This window comes from Homo sapiens, chromosome 12 (genome assembly GCF_000001405.40).
Source record: "Homo sapiens chromosome 12, GRCh38.p14 Primary Assembly".
NCBI lineage: Eukaryota > Metazoa > Chordata > Mammalia > Primates > Hominidae > Homo > Homo sapiens.
In genome coordinates, this window is record NC_000012.12 from 11,731,719 (window position 1) to 11,756,010 (window position 24,292).

General features: G+C 42.5%; 1 protein-coding gene across 12 annotated transcripts in view, besides 6 other annotated features; it reads left to right on the forward strand.

Moving 5' to 3' along the window:
* Positions 1-24,292, forward strand: part of ETV6 (ETS variant transcription factor 6) — a 245,704-nt gene that overhangs the window by 82,045 nt on the left and 139,367 nt on the right. For 5 of the 12 annotated variants that reach the window (NM_001987.5, NM_001413917.1, XM_017018990.2 and 2 more), the window contains exon 2: positions 20,732-20,861. The exons of 1 other annotated variant lie outside the window; for it this stretch is intronic. In NM_001987.5, coding sequence (NP_001978.1) covers positions 20,732-20,861 — 130 coding nt within the window. Of the gene's footprint in view, positions 1-644; positions 12,225-20,731; positions 20,862-24,292 lie in introns of those variants that run through there. 6 more of the 12 variants (XM_017018991.2, XM_047428503.1, XM_047428504.1 and 3 more) reach the window with 4 other exon arrangements.
* Positions 2,474-2,523: an enhancer, noted in NCBI's record as "active region_5980". NCBI's record gives its function as "activates an Ori minimal core promoter by ATAC-STARR-seq in GM12878 lymphoblastoid cells {active_cell/tissue: GM12878}" and the evidence as "EXISTENCE:reporter gene assay evidence [ECO:0000049][PMID:35858748]".
* Positions 11,740-11,789: an enhancer, noted in NCBI's record as "active region_5981". NCBI's record gives its function as "activates an Ori minimal core promoter by ATAC-STARR-seq in GM12878 lymphoblastoid cells {active_cell/tissue: GM12878}" and the evidence as "EXISTENCE:reporter gene assay evidence [ECO:0000049][PMID:35858748]".
* Positions 14,294-14,513: an enhancer, noted in NCBI's record as "active region_5982". NCBI's record gives its function as "activates an Ori minimal core promoter by ATAC-STARR-seq in GM12878 lymphoblastoid cells {active_cell/tissue: GM12878}" and the evidence as "EXISTENCE:reporter gene assay evidence [ECO:0000049][PMID:35858748]".
* Positions 18,563-18,612: an enhancer, noted in NCBI's record as "active region_5983". NCBI's record gives its function as "activates an Ori minimal core promoter by ATAC-STARR-seq in GM12878 lymphoblastoid cells {active_cell/tissue: GM12878}" and the evidence as "EXISTENCE:reporter gene assay evidence [ECO:0000049][PMID:35858748]".
* Positions 21,461-21,550: an enhancer, noted in NCBI's record as "active region_5984". NCBI's record gives its function as "activates an Ori minimal core promoter by ATAC-STARR-seq in GM12878 lymphoblastoid cells {active_cell/tissue: GM12878}" and the evidence as "EXISTENCE:reporter gene assay evidence [ECO:0000049][PMID:35858748]".
* Positions 21,861-21,910: an enhancer, noted in NCBI's record as "active region_5985". NCBI's record gives its function as "activates an Ori minimal core promoter by ATAC-STARR-seq in GM12878 lymphoblastoid cells {active_cell/tissue: GM12878}" and the evidence as "EXISTENCE:reporter gene assay evidence [ECO:0000049][PMID:35858748]".

The window sequence follows — 24,292 nt, forward strand, 5'->3', positions numbered from 1 at the left end:
CCTCCCCAAGGGCTCAAAGCCCTTCATAGTCATTAATTTGCATCTTGCTAATTTTCTTAAAAAATTAAAATGTTAACTACCATTTAGCTGGTATTCTACCAGCTAAAACTTCCAGCTAAATGCATTTTGTCTGTCTGTATGTATTAGCTCAGTTGAAAATGTGATCCTACTGAAGGCAGTAGGGTAACCGGCTTGTCCCAGTTTCCCTGGGATTTCAGTTTTAGTACTGAAAACCCCACATCCCCGGAACCCCTTCAGTCCCAGACAAACCAGCATGGTTGGGTCACCCAAGAAGGCGACCAGTTCAGGTAGCTCTGCATAAAGAGAAGATGTTCCACCCTGCAGTCCTTACCTTAAATCTAGGCAGCTACCTTAAGAATTGACCTAGACAGCAGTGTGTGCATGGCTCAGTGCAAATCTTTAGCATCACCTGGTAGAAGACAACACTGAGCACACAGTCGCAGAACTAGTGCAGTTCGAGGTACGTGGAAATGTCTCTGCAAAGTAATATTTCTGGTTTCTTGTTTTTTTGTCTACCCTTTTCCCCTTTACTGCACTATATGGTGAAAAACGAAAACAAGAACTGCTAACTACCTGATTTCCGAAACAAGAAGTGTGATCTCAAATATTTCTGTTGATCTCAGGTTTTTCATCTGAAAAATGAGGATGCTGGTCTCAATTTCTAAGGCCCCTTCCTGCCCAAACTTACCAGGAGGAAAGAAGCTGGAAGTAGAAAGCAGGAGAGGTTCAAAAAGAAAATGGGATGCATCTCCTTTAGTAAGCTCTACTCTGGAGAAGGACGTTGTCCTTCAAGTACAAACCTTTTCACCGACTTGGGGAGTTTCCCCCCATTGTATCCCACCCCATCTTTTTCTGCCATCGTGCACTGTGTCGTTTGAATGTGCTGCTTTGTCAGGGCTGGGGGCTTCCTTGGTGCTCCAGCTTGGCCACATCCGACACACAGACCACCCCGTCCTCCTTCTGCCTCTAGAGGACCAAGAACAACCCTTGTTCTGAAAGCACCCTGTCCCTGAGCCTGAACACATGACCCTGGATGTCAGAAGATGCTCTTCTCCATTTCAATTGCCCAATTCCAGCTCTGTAATCATTATGTTAAATGATACAAGTTTCAAAAAATATATATTTCTAATAGACTTTCTATTATCTTCCTTAAATCCACAGTGTCACTTTCATTCTTACTCCTCATTTTGGGGTGAAAGTGTAGAAAGATTGTGGCTTTAGAATCTGACGTACTTTGCTTCAAATTCTAGCACCACTGTGTGACATTGGGAAGCCCGTTCTTTAACCCCACTCAGACTCTGTTTCTCCATTGATGAAATAGAAACATACAGTATCTTATGTGTCTGGCACATGGAAGGTACTCAGCATATTAATATTAACCACTTTGGGCTGGGCGCAGTGGCTCACGCCTGTAATTGCAGCACTTTGGGAGGCCAAAGCAGGCGGATCATGAGGTCAGGAGATTGAGACTATCCTGGTTAACACAGTGAAACCCTGTCTCTACTAAAAATACAAAAATTTAGCCAGGCATGGTGGCAGGTGCCTGTAGTCCCAGCTGCTCGGGAGGCTGAGGCAGGAGAATGGCGTGAATCCGGGAGGCAGAGCTTGCAGTGAGCCGAGATCGCACCACTGCAGTGCAGCCTGGGAGACAGAGCGAGACTCCATCTCAAAAAAAAAAAAAAAAAAAAAAAAATTAACCACTTCATTCTTCTTAGCCCTTCAAGCCCCCGCACCGTGTTTTCTGACATATCATCTTGTTTTCATCCTTTCTCTTCGGTTTAATTCCAGAGGGTACAGAGAAGGTGTAAGTTACAGGTAAAGGAGAGTAAGTGCACTGTGAGTGGGTGCTGATGAAATATCACAACAGGTTCTCATTCTGACAACTCACACTAGGCCATGCTTCCCCGGAATATTTATGGAACTAAGTGGAAAAAAGGATCTTTAGCAAGGATCCAGCACCCTCAATGCAGGGAATGAAATGTGTTTATTATTAGAGCAATCCAGTTTCCATACAGCTACCAATATACACACACCCACATACCCTGTTCAGCCATACTGAAGAGTTTACTTGTAAATCCAGGCGAAGCTGATGCTGAGAGGTGGCCCGCTGTACTGATTTTGTAAAACCAGCAGGAAAACCTCTGCTCGGCCGACCACTTGATGTTTTAGTTGCAGCCACTAACATGTTAATCAAAAGAAGCAAATACATGTTTTTCCCTTGAGAAAACATGGATAGTGGTGTAACGGAAATTACCTTGAATTATTCCTCCTCAAGTATCTATCCAATCTAGATAGATGGATTATCTGATTGCACCAGGAGATGCAGACCTGGCAGTGGCTACTTCTATTGCAGCATCTTTAAAGGAATCAGATCTTTGGATTTCCATTTTCCCATTTTTATTCTTATTTTCTCCCTGCTAAAAAACAGTTTGCAGAGGCACTTGAAAGTGATATAAACTCCATAGTAGATAATAGTTGTACATGAACATCGTATCTTTTATCATATAGTCCCCTATGTAATTAGGTGATAGCTTGAGCCTAGCACAGGTGGCGCTGCTGAGCCATCTCGGAAATGACCACATCTGAACTGGGCGCAGTGGTTCATGCCTGTAATCCCCACACTTCGGGAGGCCAAGATGGGTGGATTGCTTGAGCTCAGGAGTTCGAGACCAGCCTGGGCAACATGACGAAACCTCGTCTCTACAAAAAATATAAAAATTAGCTGTGTGTGGTGGTGCTCACCTGTGGTCCCAGCTACCTGGGGGGCTGAGATGAGCAAAAAAAAAAAAGAAAAAAAAAAAAAGAAGAAGAAGAAATTACCATATCTGTATGTCTATACATAGGTATGTGGATTTATCACAGTGCTGGTACAAGTACTTTTGTCATTGATGTTTATTAAGCTTTTTATGCTCCAGGCACTATGCAAAATTGTAGGGCATTATCTCCTCTAATCCTCAGAATCTTATGCAGTAGGGCCGGTGTTGCTATTACTCCATTTTATAGATGAGGAAACTTAGGCTTGGGGTGTTTAAGTAACTTCTATGAAGTCACACAGTAAGTGCTAGAGCCAAGAGGCAAAGTAAGCCTGGATGCTTCCAAGCCGTAGCTCTTAACCACTATGCTATACTGCTCAAAAATATTTTTAGAACTGAATGAAGACATCTAAGGAAAAGGAAAACGTGGTCCCTAATGGTCTTTTGTGATAACAATATGAAACCTTTCGTCTCTAAAGTGTCATGGAAGTGAAACTTGAAAGGCTCTGTTCTTCATCTTCTACTTATTAATGGGCAAAATGTCTTCGTAATTTATGGCATGTGTCCCAAAGGTGCAAAGGTGGCAAGGTGGCCTTTTTTTTTTTTTTTTTTTTTTTTTTACTAATACTAGGTCCTGCTTCCAAGCCTCCTATTTCTTCACTTCCCTGTGTACCAGGGTTTACCTGCTGCTTAACCCACCCACCCCACTATACGTGTCTGTAGTAGACCCACCAACATTCACATGGCCACTTCTGCTGAAAGTACCTCCCAGGATAGAATAGGGTCACAGACCCCCAATTGTATAAGCCTTTGGCTTCTTGATGTCTCTGCGAGTTACGGTTATGGGAGTTGGTCTTTGGTGAGATTAGTGGTGAGATCAGTGGGTGGCACCTAGGGTGATTTATTGAATAGTATGGGGTGAGGCTGAAGAGCAAACATCCACGTAAGTGTTGTCTGTTTTGGAGTTTGAAAAGTTGTCACCCTAATAAACAAACTACTTAATTGAACAGCCCTTGCTTGGCGTGATCAAAGAAAAGACCTAGACTTTGCTATCAGTAGGCTCTGGGTTCCAGGCCTGGCTTGTCACTTACGATGATGATGATGATGATGATTTTTTATTTTTTTGAGATGGAGTTTCACTCTTGTTGCCCAGGCTGGAGTGCAATGGCACAATCTCGGCTCGCCACAACCTCCGCCTCCCGGGTTCAAGCGATTCTCGTCTCAGCCTCTTGAGTAGCTGGGATTACAGGCGCCCGCCAGTACGCCTGGCTAATTTTTGGTATTTTTAGTAGAAACGGGGTTTCACCATGTTGCCCAGACTGGTCTCGAACTCCTGACCTCAGGTGATCCACCCGCCTTGGCCTCCCAAAGTGCGGGGATTACAGGCGTGAACCATCGCGCCCGGCCAGCTCGTCGCTTATTATGCAAGTTGTATAACATTGCTGAATCCCAAGTTTTTAGTCTTTAAAATGAGAATTTAAATGTCGCCCTTATTTTGATTGCTGGGAAGTTTAAATGAAACAGTGTATGTGCCTGTCACATAGTAGTTGACAATAAATGATAGTTTCTTTTCCTTTTCCCTTAAGTAAGTTTTTTTTCCCTCTAGCCTATAAGCTCCTTAAAGAAGATAGAGATTTTCTTTTCTCACTCATTTCCATATTCTCAGCCCTTAGCAGTGCCAGGCACATATTTGCTGAATGAAAGAAAAATCTTTTACAAAGGTCTTCAGATCATTCATTCACCAGACAATTGTTGAGTATCTACAGTGTATCAGGCACTGTTCTTGGAGCAGGGCAGTCTTAAAAAACACACACAAACATAGTCTGTGTCCCCTTTTTTAGTCTAACTGGGAGAGAAACATTACATAGATAATTAGAGCAATGAACAACTTTGATCCTTGAGATGGGATTTAAATTTTAAGAGATAGGTGACATTTGGTGTCAAGTCTGTCCAGGTATACTTGATATTGTTTTTGATCAGGTACAAGAAACGGCAATATACTGTTATCTATAACTGGTTCTGAAAGATCTGAAAGAGGTGTTTCTAAAGTATTTTTGAGGAATGGTGCTGCTTTTTTGGAATAAGTATAAATACATTGTAAAGTATCTATTTCGAGAGGGAACAGACTTGATGGGATGGGATCATAGTAGGTAAGGTGTTCCAGGAACTTGGAACATACTGGAATAAGGCTTAAACACAAGTCACAGAACTGGGTGATAGGGCGGTGAGCGCATCTACTGGAGAGGAGATGGGGCAGGGCTGGCAGCTTGTAGCAAGATTTTTATGTAGACAGTTAGACTTCAAACTTCATCAGTAAGTCAGTAGATGGCCCTAGGTGGAAACACAGGACAAAAGATGAATTTGTGTTGGCACTAGAAATACTTTGAGCTCATCTAATGAGGCTCATTCATTCATTTGGTAAATACTTCACGAGTGTCCAGTGCAAGCTCTGTTCTAGTTGTAAGGGATATGGCAGTGAACAAGGCAGACAAGGTCCCTGTGCCTGCAGAGTTTTGATGATAACCTTCCCCCCTGGGTGTGTGGGAGGGCCTGGGGCTCCTGTGTGGTTTGGGGGTCTGAGAGGTGGATGAAGGTACAGTAGGCCCACAGTCGTGGAAATCAAAGTCCAAGCTCCAGTGAACCATCAATTAAGAAACAAGGGATTGTGAAGAACAAGACCTAGATCCAGACTGAAGGGAAGGATTTGCTGAGGAGTTCAGGCCAGCATGGGCTGGGGTGACTTGGCCTGGAACTCTACAACAGTCAGGACAGGGAGTCCTGAATAGGGGCACCTGCAGCTGAGTCCATGGATGGGGAGGGACCTGTGTAAGGCACTGAATTTAGACTCTGCACGCAGTTCTAAGAGGTGTTCTCAACACGTTTATGCAACTAAAAAGTGTTTATTAACAGTGTTTTGAAACAAGTGGGATTTTTGTTGAGGTTGTAGGATAATTCAGGGTCATATGGAGATTTTTATTCTATCAGTATTTGCCCTGTCATGTAGATGAGACACGTTAGAGGCAAGCCTCTGAAAATTAGATTGATTTATTTTTCTAGTCTGAACCGAGGAAAATAACTACTTGTCTTCTATCTCCTGGTGCTCTAATATATGTAAAATGTTGTCTTATGGTGAGACAATGCATATTAATTTTTTAGGCACTTGATGGAAGAAGTGGATGAGGGAAGCAGCATCGGTCTTTGAACCTAGGTCAGAAAGAAATGGAAGCCATGGTGTGAGAATAATGCATCATGGTTTGTATGGCCTTTTTCATGTATTTTAACTCAACTGATTTTCTCAGGGCCTCATCAGTCAGTCAACGCAGTTTTCTCCATCTCATAGCCAAGGAGACTGAGACTCAGATCTGCCCCTGCCCACTTTTTTTGTAGTTTTAGGGGGAAGCATAAATGTGGAGGAAGTAAATGAGTGTGTTTGTTCAGGCTTAGACTTTTGTTATTTTTTAGCCTTGCAGGGAAGGGGAGGAAAGCCAATAACGATGGCTAGAATTGGAGATAGAATGAATGCAAGTTGCATTAAACTGTAAGGTTAGTCTCGGTAAGAGGTTGTTTATATGGTGGTGTCTTGGGTGTATCTTACCATGTAGCATTCTTCGTTTTAAGAAGGATTCCTTCCGGTGCAACATCAGTCACAGCATAGAAAGCCTATGCTGCTCTGCTAGTTTGCTTGCTTGCTTGCTTGCTTGCTTGCTTTCTCCTTCCTTCCTTCCTTCCTTCCCTCCCTCCCTCCTTCCCTCCTTCCCTCCTTCCTTCCTCTCTCTTTCTCTTTCTCTCTCTCTCTGTTTTTTGTTTGTTTTTGCTTTTTTTTTTTTTTTTTTTTTAAATTTGAGACAGGGTCTTGCTCAGTCAGCCAGGCTGGAGTGCAGTGGCGCAGTCATGGCTCACCAGCCTTGCACTTCTTGGGCTCAAGTGATCCTCCCACCTCAGCCTCCCAAGTAGCTGGAATGTACCACCATGCCCGACTAATTTTTAATTTTTTTTAATGGAGACGGTTTTGCCCTGTTGCCCAGACTCATCTCAAACTCCTGGGCTCAAGTGATCCTCCTGCCTCTGCCTCCCAAAGTGCTGAGATTACAAGTGTGACCCACTGCGCCTCTGCCCTGTGCCACTTTTCCACAGCTGCTTTACCTACAGCCTGGGAGTCAGGCCAGCAAATGACGACACCCCAGGCACAGACATGCTCTCTAGGAACTTCGAGTCAGGTATTTCACTTTGTAAAGAACTTCCATTTTAATTCTATTTTCTCCTAGTTAGAGACTCATCTTTCTTCTGAGGGGTGCAAATGATTCTTTGGAGAAGTTTAAACCTGTTTTACGGTTCAAACTCAAGATGGTAGAAACAAGTCATATCCAAAAGAGTGCCCCGAGCTCTAAGAGTTGTGGCTGCGCAACGTTTTTTAGGTGTCTCCGAAGTGTTATGGCCAAGTTCAGGATTGACCCAGATGAGGAGAGGTTGCACTGCATAGTGATGATTTGTGTTGGGGAGGAGAGCTGAAACTTTGCAAAGTGGCGTCCTGAACCAACTTGTTTTTCAGCTTCTAGGGAAATTTGTTAGGTAATTTTTAAAAAAAGAGAGAGAGAGACAGAGAAGACTTAATTTGATGGAGCCTAAACTCCACTGTCTTCTTTCTGCTGAGTGCTAAGGGGCTCATGGTCTCTGAGGACAGAGGGCAGGAAAACACCTTCATGCCCTGTGTCCTCTGTAAGGGGCCTCTAGTATGAGGGACTCTGATGACTATTGCTGTTGGGGAAAAGAAGGAAAAGGAACAGGGGTCAACTTCTGTCATCATCTCTCCAGAGTTTATGATGTTTCTGAAAGGATGGGGAATAGTGCGTGGCCCCCACTCATCCCTGTGAGGTGCTGCCCAGGTATCCAACCTGCAGTGCACATGCTCGCCACTGGCACTGGGGATGGTGAGTGCAGCAGAGAGATGGGATTCTTAATTTATTCAATTTTAATTAAAAAACACAGTTCAGTTGTTAAAAACCTATTTAAGTGTGTTTGGAATAGCTTGGATATGTGAATTTACCTTTTCAACTGTGAATTTTATGAACTCTAAATACAGATCAAGTATTTCCAGCAAAAATTTAGTGTCGGATTTGAAATGTGCTCTAATGGAAACTAGACACCAGATTTCGAAGACTTAGTATGAAAAAAACATAAAATACCTCAGTAATTATCTGTATTGACTATACATTGAAAGAATATTTTGGCCACATTGAGTTAGGTGTCCTATGTTATTTAGATGCATTTTACCCATCTCTTGTTTTTCATGTAGCTACCAGAAAATGTTAAATTACCTATGGGGCTCCCCTTATATTTCTGTGGGACAGTGCGAGTCTAGACAGTGCCTTACGGGATCCATCAGAAGCATTATTGGACTTTCTAGGGAAAGTTGCTGGACTTCAAAAGTTAGAGTCATAATTTTTCCCGTTGTGTTAACAAGTTGCTTTATGTGGATGGGTTTATGACAATTGAGGGTTGGAAAATAGGTTTTAATAAGAGTAAGTTAATTGAGAGGACAGCTTTACCTCTGTTAATCAGAATGATTTTAAAATGCATTTTCACCCACTCAGAAACCACTGATTCTCATGGGAACAAAAAACTACATTCGTGCGTAGTACGAATTTGTGCCTGCTGGGTCCTTGTACCTTTACGCCAGGCAGAAATCTCCGTAATCGTCAGTGTAGATTTCATTTCCTTGTGGCAAGGAATATAAAGTAATACAACCAAAGGGGAATTCCACTGCATGAAAGGAAATATTAGTGCTCGTCTAGCTCTTGTTTCAACCCTATAAGCTCCAAGTGATTTTCAGAGTCCCTCCTTCAACTTTTTTGTTAAACTTTCCAGATTTTCCTATTTATAGATTTCAGTTGTTGGCAGCTACATGTTGGAACCGTTGTTGAAGCCCCTAGTAAGACTTGATGCTGTAGCACGCTTTCACAGCTTGGTTTGCAAGTTGCTTTCTAAAGATGCAAAGAGAATTACTACCCACTCTAGTAGTTTGAACAACCCAGTGAATTTCAGATATTAAAGCCATATTCATGCCACTGTTCTCCTAATTCTATCACTGTTTAGAATTGCATTTTGTCTAAAGGAAGGATAGATAGAATACTACTAATAATATCAAGATGCTCAGAAACTGTTGAGAATTTTTTTTACAGGAAGAACTTAAATTTCCAGAGGCTTTTAAAAAAAAATTTATTAAGGAAGGAGTAAATAAATACGCCGGGTTCTTGAGTAAACTACTTTTACCCTTCAGAACCACTTTGTACGTAGACTTTATCATGATGGCCAAGAGTTTTTAAAATACTATAGGCAGAGGGTATACTCTAGAGAAAGAAGACAACATTGGGTTTAGGACTGCTAGCCCCATCCAGAGCAGTTATGTGGTTCATTCAGGGATCTTCTTAGCCCTTCAACCTCAATTTCTACATCTGTGAGGTAGGTTTTGTGCTAGTTCTAGTGACATGACTCGTGGGTGTATTAGGAGGATATAGCAGCATGTAATTGAAGGGCTTTTATCTTGGAAAAGCCTTAGTAGGCTCAAGGTTTCTAGTTGTTTAGGGTTCTAAGATTTTACTAACTAGTCAGCTGCTTGGAGTTCAAGGCATTTCTTCAGATTATAATGAGTTGATAGTGCAGTGTGCAAAAATAAAGACCGAACCATGGTAAGTAGCAAGGTTACTGTAAGGAAAAAAATGTGTCCCACTGGCCCCTTTAAAATGGCACAGGTGCATCTCTGTAGCAACCTTGACAGCCATCATGTGGGATCATTCCCCTCACCCAGGGAACAGTGGTTCCCCAATCTCCAATCTCTCCATTCTCCAGCATGAGAAAGTGGTCTGGAGCTTGATCACATGAAGATGGACAGACACAGCCTTTTGGATGCGAGAGAGGGAAGGGAATGCAGGCCAAAAGTGGGGTGGGTTTTCCTTTCCTCTTCCTTGTTTTTTATTAACCTTGTCTTGCTCCTGCCACACACAAGTGCAGCCAGTGCTCAGGACACTGCTCCGTGTGGAGCTCCGGAAAGTGAAGCTGAGAAGCCTTCCTTGGGGTGGACATGGGGGGAGCTGCAGAGGCAATAGGGAGAAAATAACAACCATGGCTCAGGCACTGCTTGGAGCAGTTGTTCATATGTAGGTCAGGTAGTCATCATTCAGGAACTTCCTGTATTACACAAATAATCTCTATTTTATGGTTAAAGGTAGGACAGTGATAATTTACTCAGGAGGGAAGGACAATTAGCAAATTGATTAATAAGGTTTCTAAAACCTATTGTGAAAGAGAATCCTTTAACATATGTCTTGATTTATTCTGCTTATTTATGTCTTGATTTAAGACAGTGATTCGCAACTTTAGCTCTGCATATTGCAATCACCTGGGAGCTTTAACAGCGTTCATGCCTGGCTCCCATCCCTGGAGATTTACTTGGCTATTGGGATTGTGTTTTAAAGTTTCTCCAGGTGATTCTAATACACAGATAATAGCCAGAATGCCTGATTTAAAATGTTTCCTGAATTGTTAGCTGATCTTGAGTGCATATTTTCTATGTACTGTTGCACACTAATAGTTTTAATGAAGGCACAGAATCTTATGTAAAATAAACTGTTAATTGGTCTTAACTACAGGGCTACAAGAGTTTCCTTCTTATTTCAAGCTGCTTAATATTCCGTTAATCACTGTTGTCATGCACACACACTTCTGTATTCCATTCTCATTCATTTACTTTTTAGAATGGTATTAATGCTGGTGGCATTTGCAGGGTAGTAGTCACCTTGTCAGTAGAACTTGCTTTAGTAATTAGTTGTCAGAAACAAAACTCCCCAGACTTTCTACCCATGACCACAATGAAGGGAATGATGCCTTTTCTGAGTCCCTATTCCTAAGAATCAGGAAATTTCTATGATATTTGACAAGTATAGGTAGAAATTACTTGCCAAGGTGATTATGACTTCTGGAAAAAATTTTTTTAAAGGAAACACAGGTGTGTAACACTCCTAATCAGTATATAAGATTGTTTGTATGTTACTTTTTCGAGTTATAAAAGGAAGAGGATAAATTCTGCCTCCTTCCCCAGTTACTGTCAATCTTCAGTCTTCTTTTGAATTAAGTTAGTTTCCCATTTTACAACATAAAGACAAGTTTAATTCTTAAGGCTTACATAAAAAAGTAATGTTTAATTTGGGATTTCTCAAATTCTTCATCATAATAACACCTTGCATTAGTAGAGAACCTTTGTTGCAAGAAGATCAAAATATTTTATAAGCTTCATCTCATTTTTCTTTTCTTTCTTTCTTTTTTTTTTTTTTTTTTGGAGACAGCATCTTGCTCTGTCGCCCTGGCTGGAGTGCAGTAGCACAATCACAGCTCACTGTAGCCTCAACCTCCTGGGCTCAAGTGATCCTTCCACCTCAGCCTCCCAAGTAGCTGGAACCACAGGCACATGCCACCATGCCTGGCTAATTTTTCATATTTTTTGTAGAGACGGGGTTTCGCCATGTTGCCCAGGCTGGTCTCGAACTACTGAGCTCGAGGGATCCTCTTGCCCTGGCCTCCCAAAGTATTGGGATTACAGGTGTGAGCCACTGCGCCAGACCTCTTTTATCTTTGAGATAATACCGTGTGACGACAAAGGCTGGGTATTGTTATCCGAATCTCTCACACAGCAACACTGAGGAGACATTGACTCATTTCTTTTACGTTGCTTTTTAAGTACAGTATTGTTTGGTTTTGTTGAAAATTATTTTGGTAGTAAACATTTTCCAGAGATATAAATCTTTTCCAGACTCATTTGCGCTTGTTACTGTAGGTAGAATTCATGAGGCTTTTCCTATTTCTGTTTATTTCGGAGCCTGAAGTGACCCAGGAATTATGTGATATATGTAGAGCGAGGGAATTTCTTCAGTTTGACTGTGGTCCTGGTTGTAACCCAGCCTTCTTCCTTACAGATGGGGGTGAGGGTTGGGGTATCCCTTAGAGCCTGGTGTGTCTTCATACAAACAGCTTTGCTGGGGCTGCCTAGAGCCTGGGCCAGCAGTGGGGTAGTATCAAGTACAGGGCATTATTCAGCGGTTCTCCACACTCTCCTCATTTGAATGAGAATATAAATCTTCTCCCCTGGCTCTCATGTCACATCTTTAAAACCTCAAGTTTCTTATTAGGCATGTGTGGTCCATTTAAGCTCTAGACATTTCGAAAAGATAAATCACAGGGCAAAACATCTTTCTAGTTTTGAAGGAGGTCTGAGTTGCAGCTCGCTGGGGTTGTGAGTCTGAGCCGTCGCTTTTCTTTCTCTTCCTTTTACAAGACTTCCAGGATATAGCCGTTAAAGAAGGACACAAAAAAGAGCAAAGCCCTCAGTGATGCTGTGGCACAAAGAAGAAAGCTACTTGAGGAGGAGGCGAAGGGTTTACGAAGAGGCAAAGAATGCAGGTGAAGGGAGGGAGGAGTTAATAGTTAAGGCTCAGGTTCCAAGCCCTTTGGGCTGCCAGTGTCTGCAGGAGCCTTGCTTTCATCCTTTCCTTCTGCCCAGGTTTTAAGTCTCATGAGTTAAAACCTGGGGAAGCTCCCACCCCAGGTCCACTGTGAGGGAACGTACAAGAACAGTCACGTGGCAATAGTACATGCCTGGAAGGTATCTCTCATTTGGGGGGAGATTGAGAAGCGCTGTCTAATGGTGCCCTTGATACAACTAAATAGCAACTGTCTCAGTTCATTACTTGTTAGCCCCAGGCAGGGACAACGCAGATTGGCTAATTATAATAGCCAGACCATTAAAGGGAATAGCATTAATGGAGGAGAAAGCAGCTAATAAAGAGCTGAACTTGGCCACTTTGTTGTGCCCAGGATACAAGCTGCTGTTAATTTCAGTACCTGTTTCTTCTGCTGTTAGAACTAGGAAGAAAGGATTTAGTGACCCTCTTTCAAAAGGTGGATCACAAGCTTAGAGGCATTGCTGGATAAATTCAACAGCAAGACTTTATTTCTTCCCCAGAGGTGACGTCTGATGGTTCTGTATAAATAAAGTCACACCACCTTTCTTATGCTGAATTGATGCTGCTGACCTGCTGTTAGTAGGACATGCACTTTTATGGCGTTTCCAGGAGTGGTGATGTGTGTTGCTGAGCTCATCTAATCTCTGCTTTGAGCAAAGGCAATCCTCTATATCATGGCAGGGATTAGAGGTATAGCCTGGGGCTGCAGAATGGTGTGATTTAAATTTTCCCATGCAGGTTCAAAGCTTGTAACTTTGCCTGCGTGTACATCCACACTGGGTTCCAGCCACATGAACTGGGCCACCTTCATAGACCTCCCTGGTAACCACAGCCTGACGTGACAAGGAATCACAGTTTTACTTTCCGCTTACTATCCATGTTAGAAATATCTAAGGAAATTCAGGAAAAAAAAAAAAGAGAGAATTTCATGGCATGTCAAGAATGGAAAGTATCTTAATTAAAATGTTTTAAAATGGGAACAATAAAGAAGTCGATTTAAGTTTTTTGCTTTGGTGCTTGTCTTTAAAGAAATTGCTCCTAATTCTAGAAACTAGTGCTTTTTCTAATTATATTCAGTAGAACCCTAGGATCCTGTGAGGAGGCATAGGGGAGTAATTGATAAAGAAGGGGACTGTGGTGTCCGTGTTTTATTTGGAGCTGTTCTACCCACACTGTAATTTATAAGCTCTAACTTACCAGGGGAGATAAGATTGTATAGAACCAGCATCTTGCAGTTATACGGAACCTTTAAGTTCTCCTACTCCAGCTCCTTCCCAGTGCAAGCACGTGTTTTAGAGTAACTGTTCAGCCTCAGCATTAAGTCAGCTTTAGGAGAACAGTAAATCGCCCATTTATCTGGAGACTTCAGCTGTTTGAAAGGCCTTCCTTCTAGTGCATCGGTATCTGTTGCTGGCTCTGTCCTCTGCTACTACAAGCAAGCCTTGAGTCTCTCTTAGACTTGTCCTTCCTATATTTGAAGACATCTCCGAGAAGATTTTAAATCTTTTTTCCCCCACAGGCCACATATATCCTTAATGCCTTCATCCATTCCCCTCTTGGGAATGTGCATCTTTGGGCCATTGGAGAGGTCTTGCTTGGACTGCGGCCACTGTGATTTCTGGGGGCAGACTCAGCTCCTTCTTGGTGTAGAGATCTGCCCACTATAGGCACCAAATAGATGTTGGCAGGCTTCTTTCCTCCTTACTGCTTCTATTTATCTCACCTGTACTTTTAGATTTGCTGCTCTTGGGTAAGCAGATAAGAACAAGGGAAATGTCTTCCGTTGTTGTTAAAGACAATGTTAGGATAGAAAGTAATATGTTTGTACTCAAAAATGCCCAGTGAGATTTCTAGCCACGGCCAAGTTATCATTTGCATAAGCAACCTGGAAATGCCCTCTTGGTCCTACTGATTGTGTCCCATGGTTAATGTAGATCCCTGGATAAATTCGAATGGCTACTCCTGCTCAGGGGTCATGCCATGAGAACTTTTCTCATACATCAGATAGAGTCCCCTTCCGTCAGCTGAATGCATTTACCCCTCAGTCTGTGCTACCCATAGGATAAGCAACATGCATAAGAAGGTAGGTGCCTTGGCTTAGGCAGCTCTGTTGAGTCACCCTCAAGAATCCTGCTGGAATTCTGTGAGGAGTGAGGATGCAGAGCAACGAAATATTCGAAGGCTGCTATGATTTTTACAAGCTTGAACCTGTCTCTTGGAATTCCCCATTGTGAAGTCATTGTTGACTGGTTGGCATTATAAAGCAGTTCAGAGAAGTAAAGTTAGATCAGTCTGCACGCAAATACCAGCCACACCATCTCCCAAGCTAGTGACTGGAACTGCGGTTTTCAAGTCAGTTTCCTCATTGCGGAATGGAGATAACGATGCCTTCCTTGCAGGGTCATTGTGAGGCTGAAATAAAATAAAGGCTTCATGGGAACACATACCACATGCTCACTTAATGCTAGCTCTCTTTCCTGATTGTGGCAGTGACTGTATTTTCCAGCTACAATTGTGACACGTGTTCTGAGAGGTGTTAAGTATTTATATACAACTACCCATATGTATTTATGGGTAAAAGGACACGGAACTTTAAATATTGAGACCATCCTGGAAATTCTAGGATGTATGATTGCATAATTTGTAATGCCTGCTATAGGCCTAGCCTCATAGTTGACCCTTGATGGATGCTGAAATATTTCTTAATCATAGGGAGAAAAAAAACTCAATGACCTTTTACAGAGATGTTTGATTGCAGGGCTTATTGCTAATGCTCTCTCTCTCTCTTTTTTTTTTTTTTTTTTTTTTTAATCTCACTATGCAAAGATAATACAGGTCTGGGTAAGAGGAAGACTTAAGATGCTTTGACTTAATTGTATCTGCTTGACAGAAGCAATATACTGCCTTCTGATTTTAGGATGTAACCATCCAGAAAGGCAGAAGAAAGGGACAATTTCAGTTCTAAACAGGAATCCGAATATCTCACGTCCTGAACCATCTACATAAACTAGAGAAAGGGCACTCCTTAAGACTGGTGAAGCGGGCTCCTTGGAAGATCCCCACAGCAACATTGAGTTTGGTTTGTCTGGCGTACCCTCTCCCCAAGGGCTGAGTGGGCCATCTGGGTAACCTAGAGAGGAGACTTCAGATGCTAGGAGTATAGTTCCTACCCATCCTCATTTTCACAGGGTACACTCATTTTTTTCCCCTTGGAAGTACTGATATGTATTCTGCAAGATGAATGTTGAGACCCAAACACCATTTGGCTTGTAAAAATTAATGGCTTAGCATCCAGAGGGATGTTGCTTTCAGGGCAGGGGGGACACTGGACACCAAGAAGAAAGCCAGCTTGGGCCCCTATACCATCTTGGATGTCTAAACCATCTTCTGGTAACTCTCTGGATGAAAAGAAATCATGAACTTCACTTCTGTGATTTGGTGGATGTGGATTTTGCTACATCAAAATTTGCATTTGAGTCTCTGTGGTGTTCTTTCTAGCCGAGATGCTAGGGTATGCTCTTTCTTTCTGGGGAGATTCCAAAAATGTTACTCTCTGTGGCTGTGTGTACAATGTCTATTTAGAAAAGAAGACTGGCATTTGCATCTTCTCTCAAATTCTTTACGTTTGTCTCACTGAATTTTGGAGTGGACAAAATATTCAATAGCTTTTTTCAAGTGAAAAAAATGTCGACTTTCAAGAGTGTATTACTTTAGGTTCTTGTGTATATCTGTGCTTTCCTGGTGGCAGAAACCTAGAAAACTCTAGAGCTCAAATTTCAGCGTATTCAATTTTTTGTTAATGTGTCTATAGCTTGTTAATAAAAGCTTACTTAATGAAAGCCAACATCACCACCACTTGAAATTTTTGCAGCCAGAAGAGTGTACTTAAATACTTGTGTATTCAGACTTCACTTTAATAAATTTCAATAAATAGCTTCCCATAGGAGAGGTTTCTTCTGTTGAATCTGTAGAAGTTGACGACGGTACAAGCATCAGCTTTCTCAGGCAGCTTTTCTAAACACCTGCAGGGTGGAAAAGAGATCCTTCTCTCAAAATACTGAATATTGCTGGCATGACCACTCTTGTCACTGGTGCCTGCTGTTTTCCATCTTATCTGGGTTGCAGGTTTCTTCACAGTGATGGGACACCGAAGTGCAATGGGATGAAAGCATGCCTGTGGCATTTTTACCCTAGCTGTGGGGAAATGACCACTATCCTGTGTCCATGACACTCTTCCTCCTCAGGACTTTCAAACTAGGCTTCAGAAGCCATCACTGGGGGCAGTCCTGGCATTTATAATGGGGATAGGGACAATTTCCAGGAAAAGTTTCTATATCAAGGACATCTCAGTTCTGCAGCAGAGAAATCTTTGAAATTACCTGCAAACCATCTTTTTGCAAGCACAACCAACTTTATTTCTGTTTTAATTAATTCCAAAAATGCTTTATTTCCAGAATGTTAATATTTAGTTAGCAGTAGGCTCTAAGTTTCCCAACCCCTCAGCCTTTTCAGAGGGTATAATAATAAATGTGTAAATGTGCTAGGGGATCCCCGTGATTTATGGAAGCTTTATATTGAATAATTTTGAAGAGGAAAGACCTTTTGGTAATAATATTCATTTTTTGACTCTTCTGTAATATGCAACCTGAGGGTGGGTGTGGGGGAACGTGGAGAAATGCCATTCTCCTACTGAGCACAGACTGTATACACCTATTTTACAGGGAAGTCACGGGCTCCTAAGCATTCAGTTTAAAAATGAGCAGAATTAGATGGGTACCCTTCATTGGCCCTTCATGGCTAGGGGAGAAATGGGAGAGGGAACGCAGCTCATTTTGGCTTCAGTCCTTACGCTTTCAAGAGACAACCCTACTCCATACTTCATTATTTTTTTTAAAGCTTTCTATAATGGTTGGTGAAATTTACATTTCAACTCTTGCCTACAACAGTTTTCTGCCTTATTTTCTCTTCCCAGCGCTTTGTGCCGCCTCCTTGACAACCTGCTCATAGGTATTACAATTGGCCTCAGAAATTGCAGTGCTTCCCTTTTGTTCAGCTGGTTGGCTTGATAGGTTGTATCTGCAAATTTGAGAGCAGCGTGTTTTATTTTTTACAGCATCTAAACAATAATGTAACCACATCACGGCATTCTGAGTCACATCATTGACCTCCACCAGCAGTTTATCCCCCTACAACACTTGAATACATTAATATCACTGTCTGTAGCATTTTAATTTAATTAGAGCAGCGGTTATAATCCTCTTGGGAAAATCGTTATCCCCCCCATACACACACACACACACACACACACACACACACACACACACACACACACACACACACACACACCCCTACTCCCCATAATGTTAAAAGAAAGAAAGCAGCTCTGGTTTTCATCTGTCTGACAATTTGCTTTAGAGGTGGGACTCTCACCACCACCCCCTCCTTTGTTGGGGTCGCACCAGAGAAGCAGTTGTGAGAGTAAAGAGGTTCCCTTTATTTGGGAAATTAGACGTTAGTGTCCTTAAACTTCTCTGTCTAGATGTCTCCATCTGAGATAGTGGTATTTGGTTAATTTTTCCAATTGCTGATAGTCTGCTGATGTGCCAGGGTAGATGTTAAGTGCGAGGTTATTGCAATAGAGTGAAAAATGAGCACTGTGAGAGTCAACCTAGAGATTCACAAAAAGAGAGACAAAAGGAGTCTCTGTAGTGTGGGATTCCCAAGAGTGTGTTTTGTTCTCCTTGGAACAGAGCCCACTCACTGTACAGCATCCTTTTGGGGTCCCCAAGTGCTCTGCAGCCACCAAGCCCAGAGTTACCTTAGGTGTGCCATGGCTACTAGAAGAGTGCTCGGGGCCCTAGAAGCACATTGTGCATTTGTCCGTCTTGGTCAAGGTAACCTCTCTTGTTGCTGACAAGTCTCTTCATTGAGCCTTTGAAAAAGAGCTTATGGTGTGGAAAACTGTCCTCCAGCTGAGTAGAAACCATCATCAGGAATGTGAGGAGATCAGTGGGCCACAGTCTCTTCATCTCTGGCCTTCCTTTTATAAGTTTTCATCATGAAATAGCAGTTGTCTCCATCTAAAATTGTTTGGACGGGGTTTGCGGGGGATGGCGTCAGATCCCAGAGCAGGTGCAGAAGTGTGGTGTTTCACCGTAAGGTCAGGGAACCATGTAGAAGTGAAAGCACACCAAGGGGTTACTTTTAAAGAGAGCACAGTTGAAAGGAAGGTCCAAAGCAATGATAATTTAGTAAATTACAGTATATACACTTTCAGGGTAATAGCTAGCCAGACTCTTTTGTCAGCTGGCTGGGGATGGAGTTCCTAAGAAATGAAGTCCAGTCAGCATGGAGGGCCGGGTTTCTCCCAGCTTGCCTTGGTGGAGTTGGGGCAGGCGGGGATGAGGCGGCCTCACTCTCATGGACTAGCCAGAGTGTCTTGTGAGTTTCTCTTTGCTTCAAGGGAAAGAAGAGTCATTGAATTTCGAAATGCTGTCTTGTTTTTTTCTTGCACTCATGAAGCACCATTTGAAGACCCTTTGGCTGCCCGATGTTTTCTTCACCAAGTTTCACTTCTGCAAAAACCCTAACAAAACAGAAAGCTATTTCCGAGAATAAAGTTAACGGTAGATATCTAGACATATAGTGGGATTTGGGGGGTGTCAGACAAGAGTTGAAGAGTATGGAGAATTTGTTAAATTCTAAAAACAGACTGTTTGAAATGCTCAGAAGCCCACCTCACCTTTAAAAACCTCTGAACAGATTTTATGTTTCCTATATGTGTGGGCTTTTTTTTTTTTTTTTTTTTTTTTTGCTTTTTTCATCCCAAACCAAACACCAAAAAGTATAACCCATCCTTCAAGTTAAAGTTTCTCAAAATACATGTGATGCCTGCTAAAGTTCAAGAAAAGTGCAGTTGAAAGTTTTGCCTCTGGGTGACTTTTTACAGGACATCTTAATTGACCCAGAAATGAAACCTGGGATATATGTGCCTGCCCTTCATTAAGAAATTCACCAAGAAACCTCAGGATGTATGTTTAAACAGAAATATTCCAACTGCCCTACTTGCTTCTGGTGGGTGCCTTAGGGAAGGTATAGCAATTCCATTCGGAAATTATAACAATATGTATATATTCATTTAAAATCAAAACTTCCTACCACAACTGCCAGACTTTCTAGGCTATGAGCAGAGGAGAAGCTTTAATTTGGTTATAGGCCGAGGACTCCGCCGCTTCCCTTTGCACATTTGATGAGATGTAAAATGTTAAAGAACTATCTTTCCAAAACGTAAACACTGCCTTCCCTTTACTTAAATGTACGATTTTCTTTTGCTCTTGAGTTTTATTTTCATAGTGGCATCTTACTGGTCTTTCCTTTCCACCATATTTTTGGATGTTGTGTGTTCCATTTTACATTGCCCAGTTAAACCACAGACACTCCTGAAGTCATGTTTACATGTGGACTGCAAGTCAACCTAGTTGGCATGTTGATCTAAGCTACAAATTGCACTGCTGTTTTGCCGAACCCAACAGTCGGTTTCTTGCCATTATTTGCGGTATTTTAACTTAAAACTCACGGTAATCCTTCTCACCCCATCTAGTTTGTTTTAATTGATCTAACAAACACTGCTTGTTTGAATTCAAATGGAGGATCCATGGAAGCTCTCCCACCCCACCCTTTGATACTTGATAAGGGGTCAAACAGTACTTCTTTTAAATTCAGATAATTCTTTGAATGAACTATGAAATACTTCAGAGGGAAAGGAAATATCGATTCTGAGATGGAGAGTAAAAGAACAAGGAGATATTCATTATTGTTGCAGATAATTCCTAGCAATGAAGGAAAAAATTAGACGTTGGATATTTTTGGTTGTGGTGGTTGTATAGTGAGATAGGTGGACAATAGAAAAATCTTCCTTGTGGATTGAAGTTCTAAATCTAGAACTTATCTTTGAAGCTGTCACTTTACTTGATCAGCTCACTATGGAAGTGAATCTAGAATCATACTTTGATTAGAAGCTGGGGATATTGCTACAGAAGAGAAAACATGGCTTTAATATAGTGATGGCATTAATTATGTGACTTGGGCAAGTCATTTTTTAAAAAGTTGTCTTTAAGCCATTCTCGCGGACGTATTTTTTTTGTTCCCTTTTGTCCCTCCTTTTTACTTGTACAAACCACAGGGTGTACACCTATTGACATGAGTCCAAAGTAAAGGCTGTTTTCAACGATGGCAGAGTTTTGTTATATAGCCCCAAGGCTAGGCATCTGAAAGACAACTGTATACAGTGTCTCTACGGAGAGAGTAAGCCGGATTGCTTGGGAAGCTGGTACTGCCCATGCCCCGCCTCCCTTTTGCTCCCCACCCCGAGATGGTCTCATACCTCCATTCCAAGCTTTCATTGTCTCTCTCCCCCTCCCCTCTTCCTGCCCTTATTTTTAACAGCAGGAACGAATTTCATATACACCTCCAGAGAGCCCAGTGCCGAGTTACGCTTCCTCGACGCCACTTCATGTTCCAGTGCCTCGAGCGCTCAGGATGGAGGAAGACTCGATCCGCCTGCCTGCGCACCTGCGTGAGTGTTCGTGACCCGAGAGGGACAGAGGATTGATGGCGTGGGGCGGGGGTGGCAGGCAGTGGGCTCCAGGCCAGAGAGGGGCAAGCTCTGAGGTGGTTTTCACAGGACTTCGCCACGCTGCTTTGGAATCTTTCACACCCCCCTACCCCCAGATACCTTTGAAAAATTTGAGGTTCCTGTTCCTTGTTTCTCAGTGTATTCATTTCTTCCCTGACTATGACATGTTAAAAAAAAAAGAAACCTGGAAACATGCAGTATATGGCAGAGCCAACTAAATCTCCTAGTAGACAAGATGATTTCTGTGTGTGTGCAAAGTTTATCTGTATTCTCAAATTCACGCTTACTCAACTTTAATATTTTCTTTGGTCCTAAATTTTGCTCAGTTTGTGAGTCAGACTCACTTCTGCTTTGTTTTTAAGCTGTGCGCTCGTCCTTTCTTTCCAGGGCCCTCCCTCCCCTCCCTGTCTGTGCTGGCTACTTTTCTTCCCTTCGTTTTCTAGGCCTGCATAGGTCCTCTCTCTTGCCTCCTCTTTCCTTCACCTCCACTCTCTCTTGCTTCTCTTGTGCTTGCTTTGCCTCAGCAGCTGCAGTCTGTAGTGGTTCCACCTTTCTCTCCCAAATCATCTCTACCCCTTGGCCTACCACTTCCCCGTCTCAGTCCTCAGCTGCAACTTGGCAGAGGTTTGGGGCCCACACACCTGTGCTGCTGATACTGGCCTCCAAAGCCGTTGACACCTGCTGTGTCCTTTTTGTCTGCCTTTCTCATACTGCCACCCAGCTCAGGTGATAAAACAGGATTGGGGCAGCTGGAGAGACTGAATCACCTGATTCCCACCCTCTTCACAGTGTCCAAGAAAATGCCAGCTTCTCTGCCTTGAATGTTATCCTGAGGGCACAAGACTAGCTTATAGAGGACACTTGAGGTCACCTTGGCCCTTCCAGTGACTTAAATGGTGGCACAGTCTTGCTCACCATCTCTCTCCAGCAGGGTGATGCTCTCCAGTTCTTCTCCTCCTGTTCCACCCTCCTCAGAAGGTTGCTTTCTGAATGCAGAGAACAGGAGACAGAGGATGCAGGTTCTTCCTTTCTCTCTCTGGTAATTCAGGGAATCAGATGACTGTGATATGGGGGCTCCTGGGGGAACACTGCCGCCGGCTTATGCCTTCTGCCCCAGAGGGCAGACGGTTGCTGGGATGTTTGTGAGGAGTTGGAGGCATGAGAATCCTTTCCCTCCTGCAGCTTGCTGCGTCCATCAGTATTTACGAAGTTGCTGCCTACTATGGTCAAGACATTTCTGCTTCATTTGGGCAGGGAAGTAAAGGACACAGCCCTACTCTACCATCTTTTCCTCTACTTTTAAGGAGGTTCGAACTGTAAAGGTGCCAGGGTCATGGCTGGGAACATCAGTGTTCTTAGGAAACTGGAATGTTGTGGCACCATGGGAGCAGACACAACTGGAAAAGAAACAGCAGCCAAGTGATAGGAAATTTTCCTCCAGAAGTCATCCTGTGACCGATATATTCACTTCAGAAATATTCGCCTCAGGATGGAACATACTCATGCCACACAGGCAGAACACTTCTGCTACCTAATTCATTCATTTATTCATCTCACAAATAGTTATTGATTGCCTCTGCTGTGCCCGGCACTCTTCTGTGTCCTGGGGGTGCAGAAATGAACAAAGCAGAAAAAACTCCCCTGCTCTTGTGGAACTTAAATTCTAGCACAGAGAAAAAAAAAGTATCAAACACTCATCACAAACAGGCTGAGATTTCTTTCATAACGTTTTATTCCTATAGATTGCAACATCCCCCAAGGAGGCCCTCGCTCCTGGTTCACTTCTGGATGCCTTGACATATGGAAGCTCCTTAACTATCTTCCACGAGATGTTATCCTGACAAAACAAATAAGAAAGCAAACAAACACACTGAACTGGAGGTCAGGAGATCTTAACTTTTAGCTAGTTCTGCTGTTCGACTGTGGGTAATTTAACTCAGTTCTCCTAGCATACAATACTGTGTGTTGACAAGAAAATGTTTAACAGCCTTCCTAACTTTAAAGTACTATGATTCTCATCTGAGGCATCATTCTCCTTGCTTTGAATTGTTTCTTCCATACTAACACTTGAATTTTTTCTTGAGTAGACAGTTTCCTTATTGAGCCGTGTCTGTGCTGCTTACCAGCATTTTGGTAGTGCCTTCTGTGTGCCTAGCACACAACCATAATAGCTAATATTTATCACGGGATTACCCTGTAGCAGGCACTGTGTGAAGTCCTTTACAGGAATTCTTTTAATTCATTCTCACAATACCTGTCAGGTAGGTCTTCTTTCTATCTCCATGTCACACATAAGGGCTTAGACAATTTAAGTAATTTTTCAAGGTCGATCACAGAACCAGTAAGAGATAGAGTCAAGGCTCAAACTCAGTTCTGGCTGACTCCAGAGCCTAGGATCTTATATCCACTATACCACCAAAAAGTGTGTGTTTAGTAAATATTTATTGGATGGATGGATGGATGGATGAATTCAGGGTTGACACTTAGCCAGTGTTCACTGGTGTGGCCGTAGCATTGGTTTATGGCTGGAATCTATTCTAATTGCTGTTCTGTCTGTTCTATCTGTTGTTGAATGGCTTGCATATCACCCTTCGAAGGATGGATGGGTCCCCACGTAGACAGCTATAAAATATAGAACTGCAGCACATTCCCGGAAACCTTTCCATTTCATCAGTAGTTAGACTATGGATTCAGATTATGGTAATGATTTTGCCTGAATGCCTACTCTATGGCAGTCTAACTTTATATACCTCTCCTTGGTAGTCTGCATGAGACCTATTGTGACACCATTGGTTCTGACATCTGTATTGAATCCTCTGGAAGTGGAGGTTCCCAGGCTCTTGCTGTTTGCCCTCAGCTGGGACTTTCCAAATGAGGCTGAGCTTCTGTCCTCCCGCTCCCGTTTCAGGGTTCTGCTGCTTGTCATCCTGTTTGAGAGGAGCATATAGCCCCTACGATGACTGAAGCTGTGCCACACACTTAAAGATGCATCCCAGCTGAGTTTCCAAACCTAAAAGAAAATAAATATTCTAACCAGGGAATTGGGTTATTGCTGTTTTAATCTGGGATTCCAGACAATTCCCAGTGGAATGCTCATGGAAAGTACGGGGAAGAATCTCAAAGCCAAGACAACAGCGGGACATTTATGGTATTGCTAAGTCCAAGGCACTTGTAGCTGCTTATTTTAAAGAGATACTCATCAGATTGGTATGCCTCAAAGTGGGTTCTTTTCACCATTTTCCATTGATTACCAGATAAATCCTCTCCCTTAATTCTTCCTTTCTCTTCTTTCATTCTTAAATCAACTTATATTCTTGTGGATGGGGGTAAAGAGGAGCAGAGATCATATTATTTAAGGTTCTCATACAGAG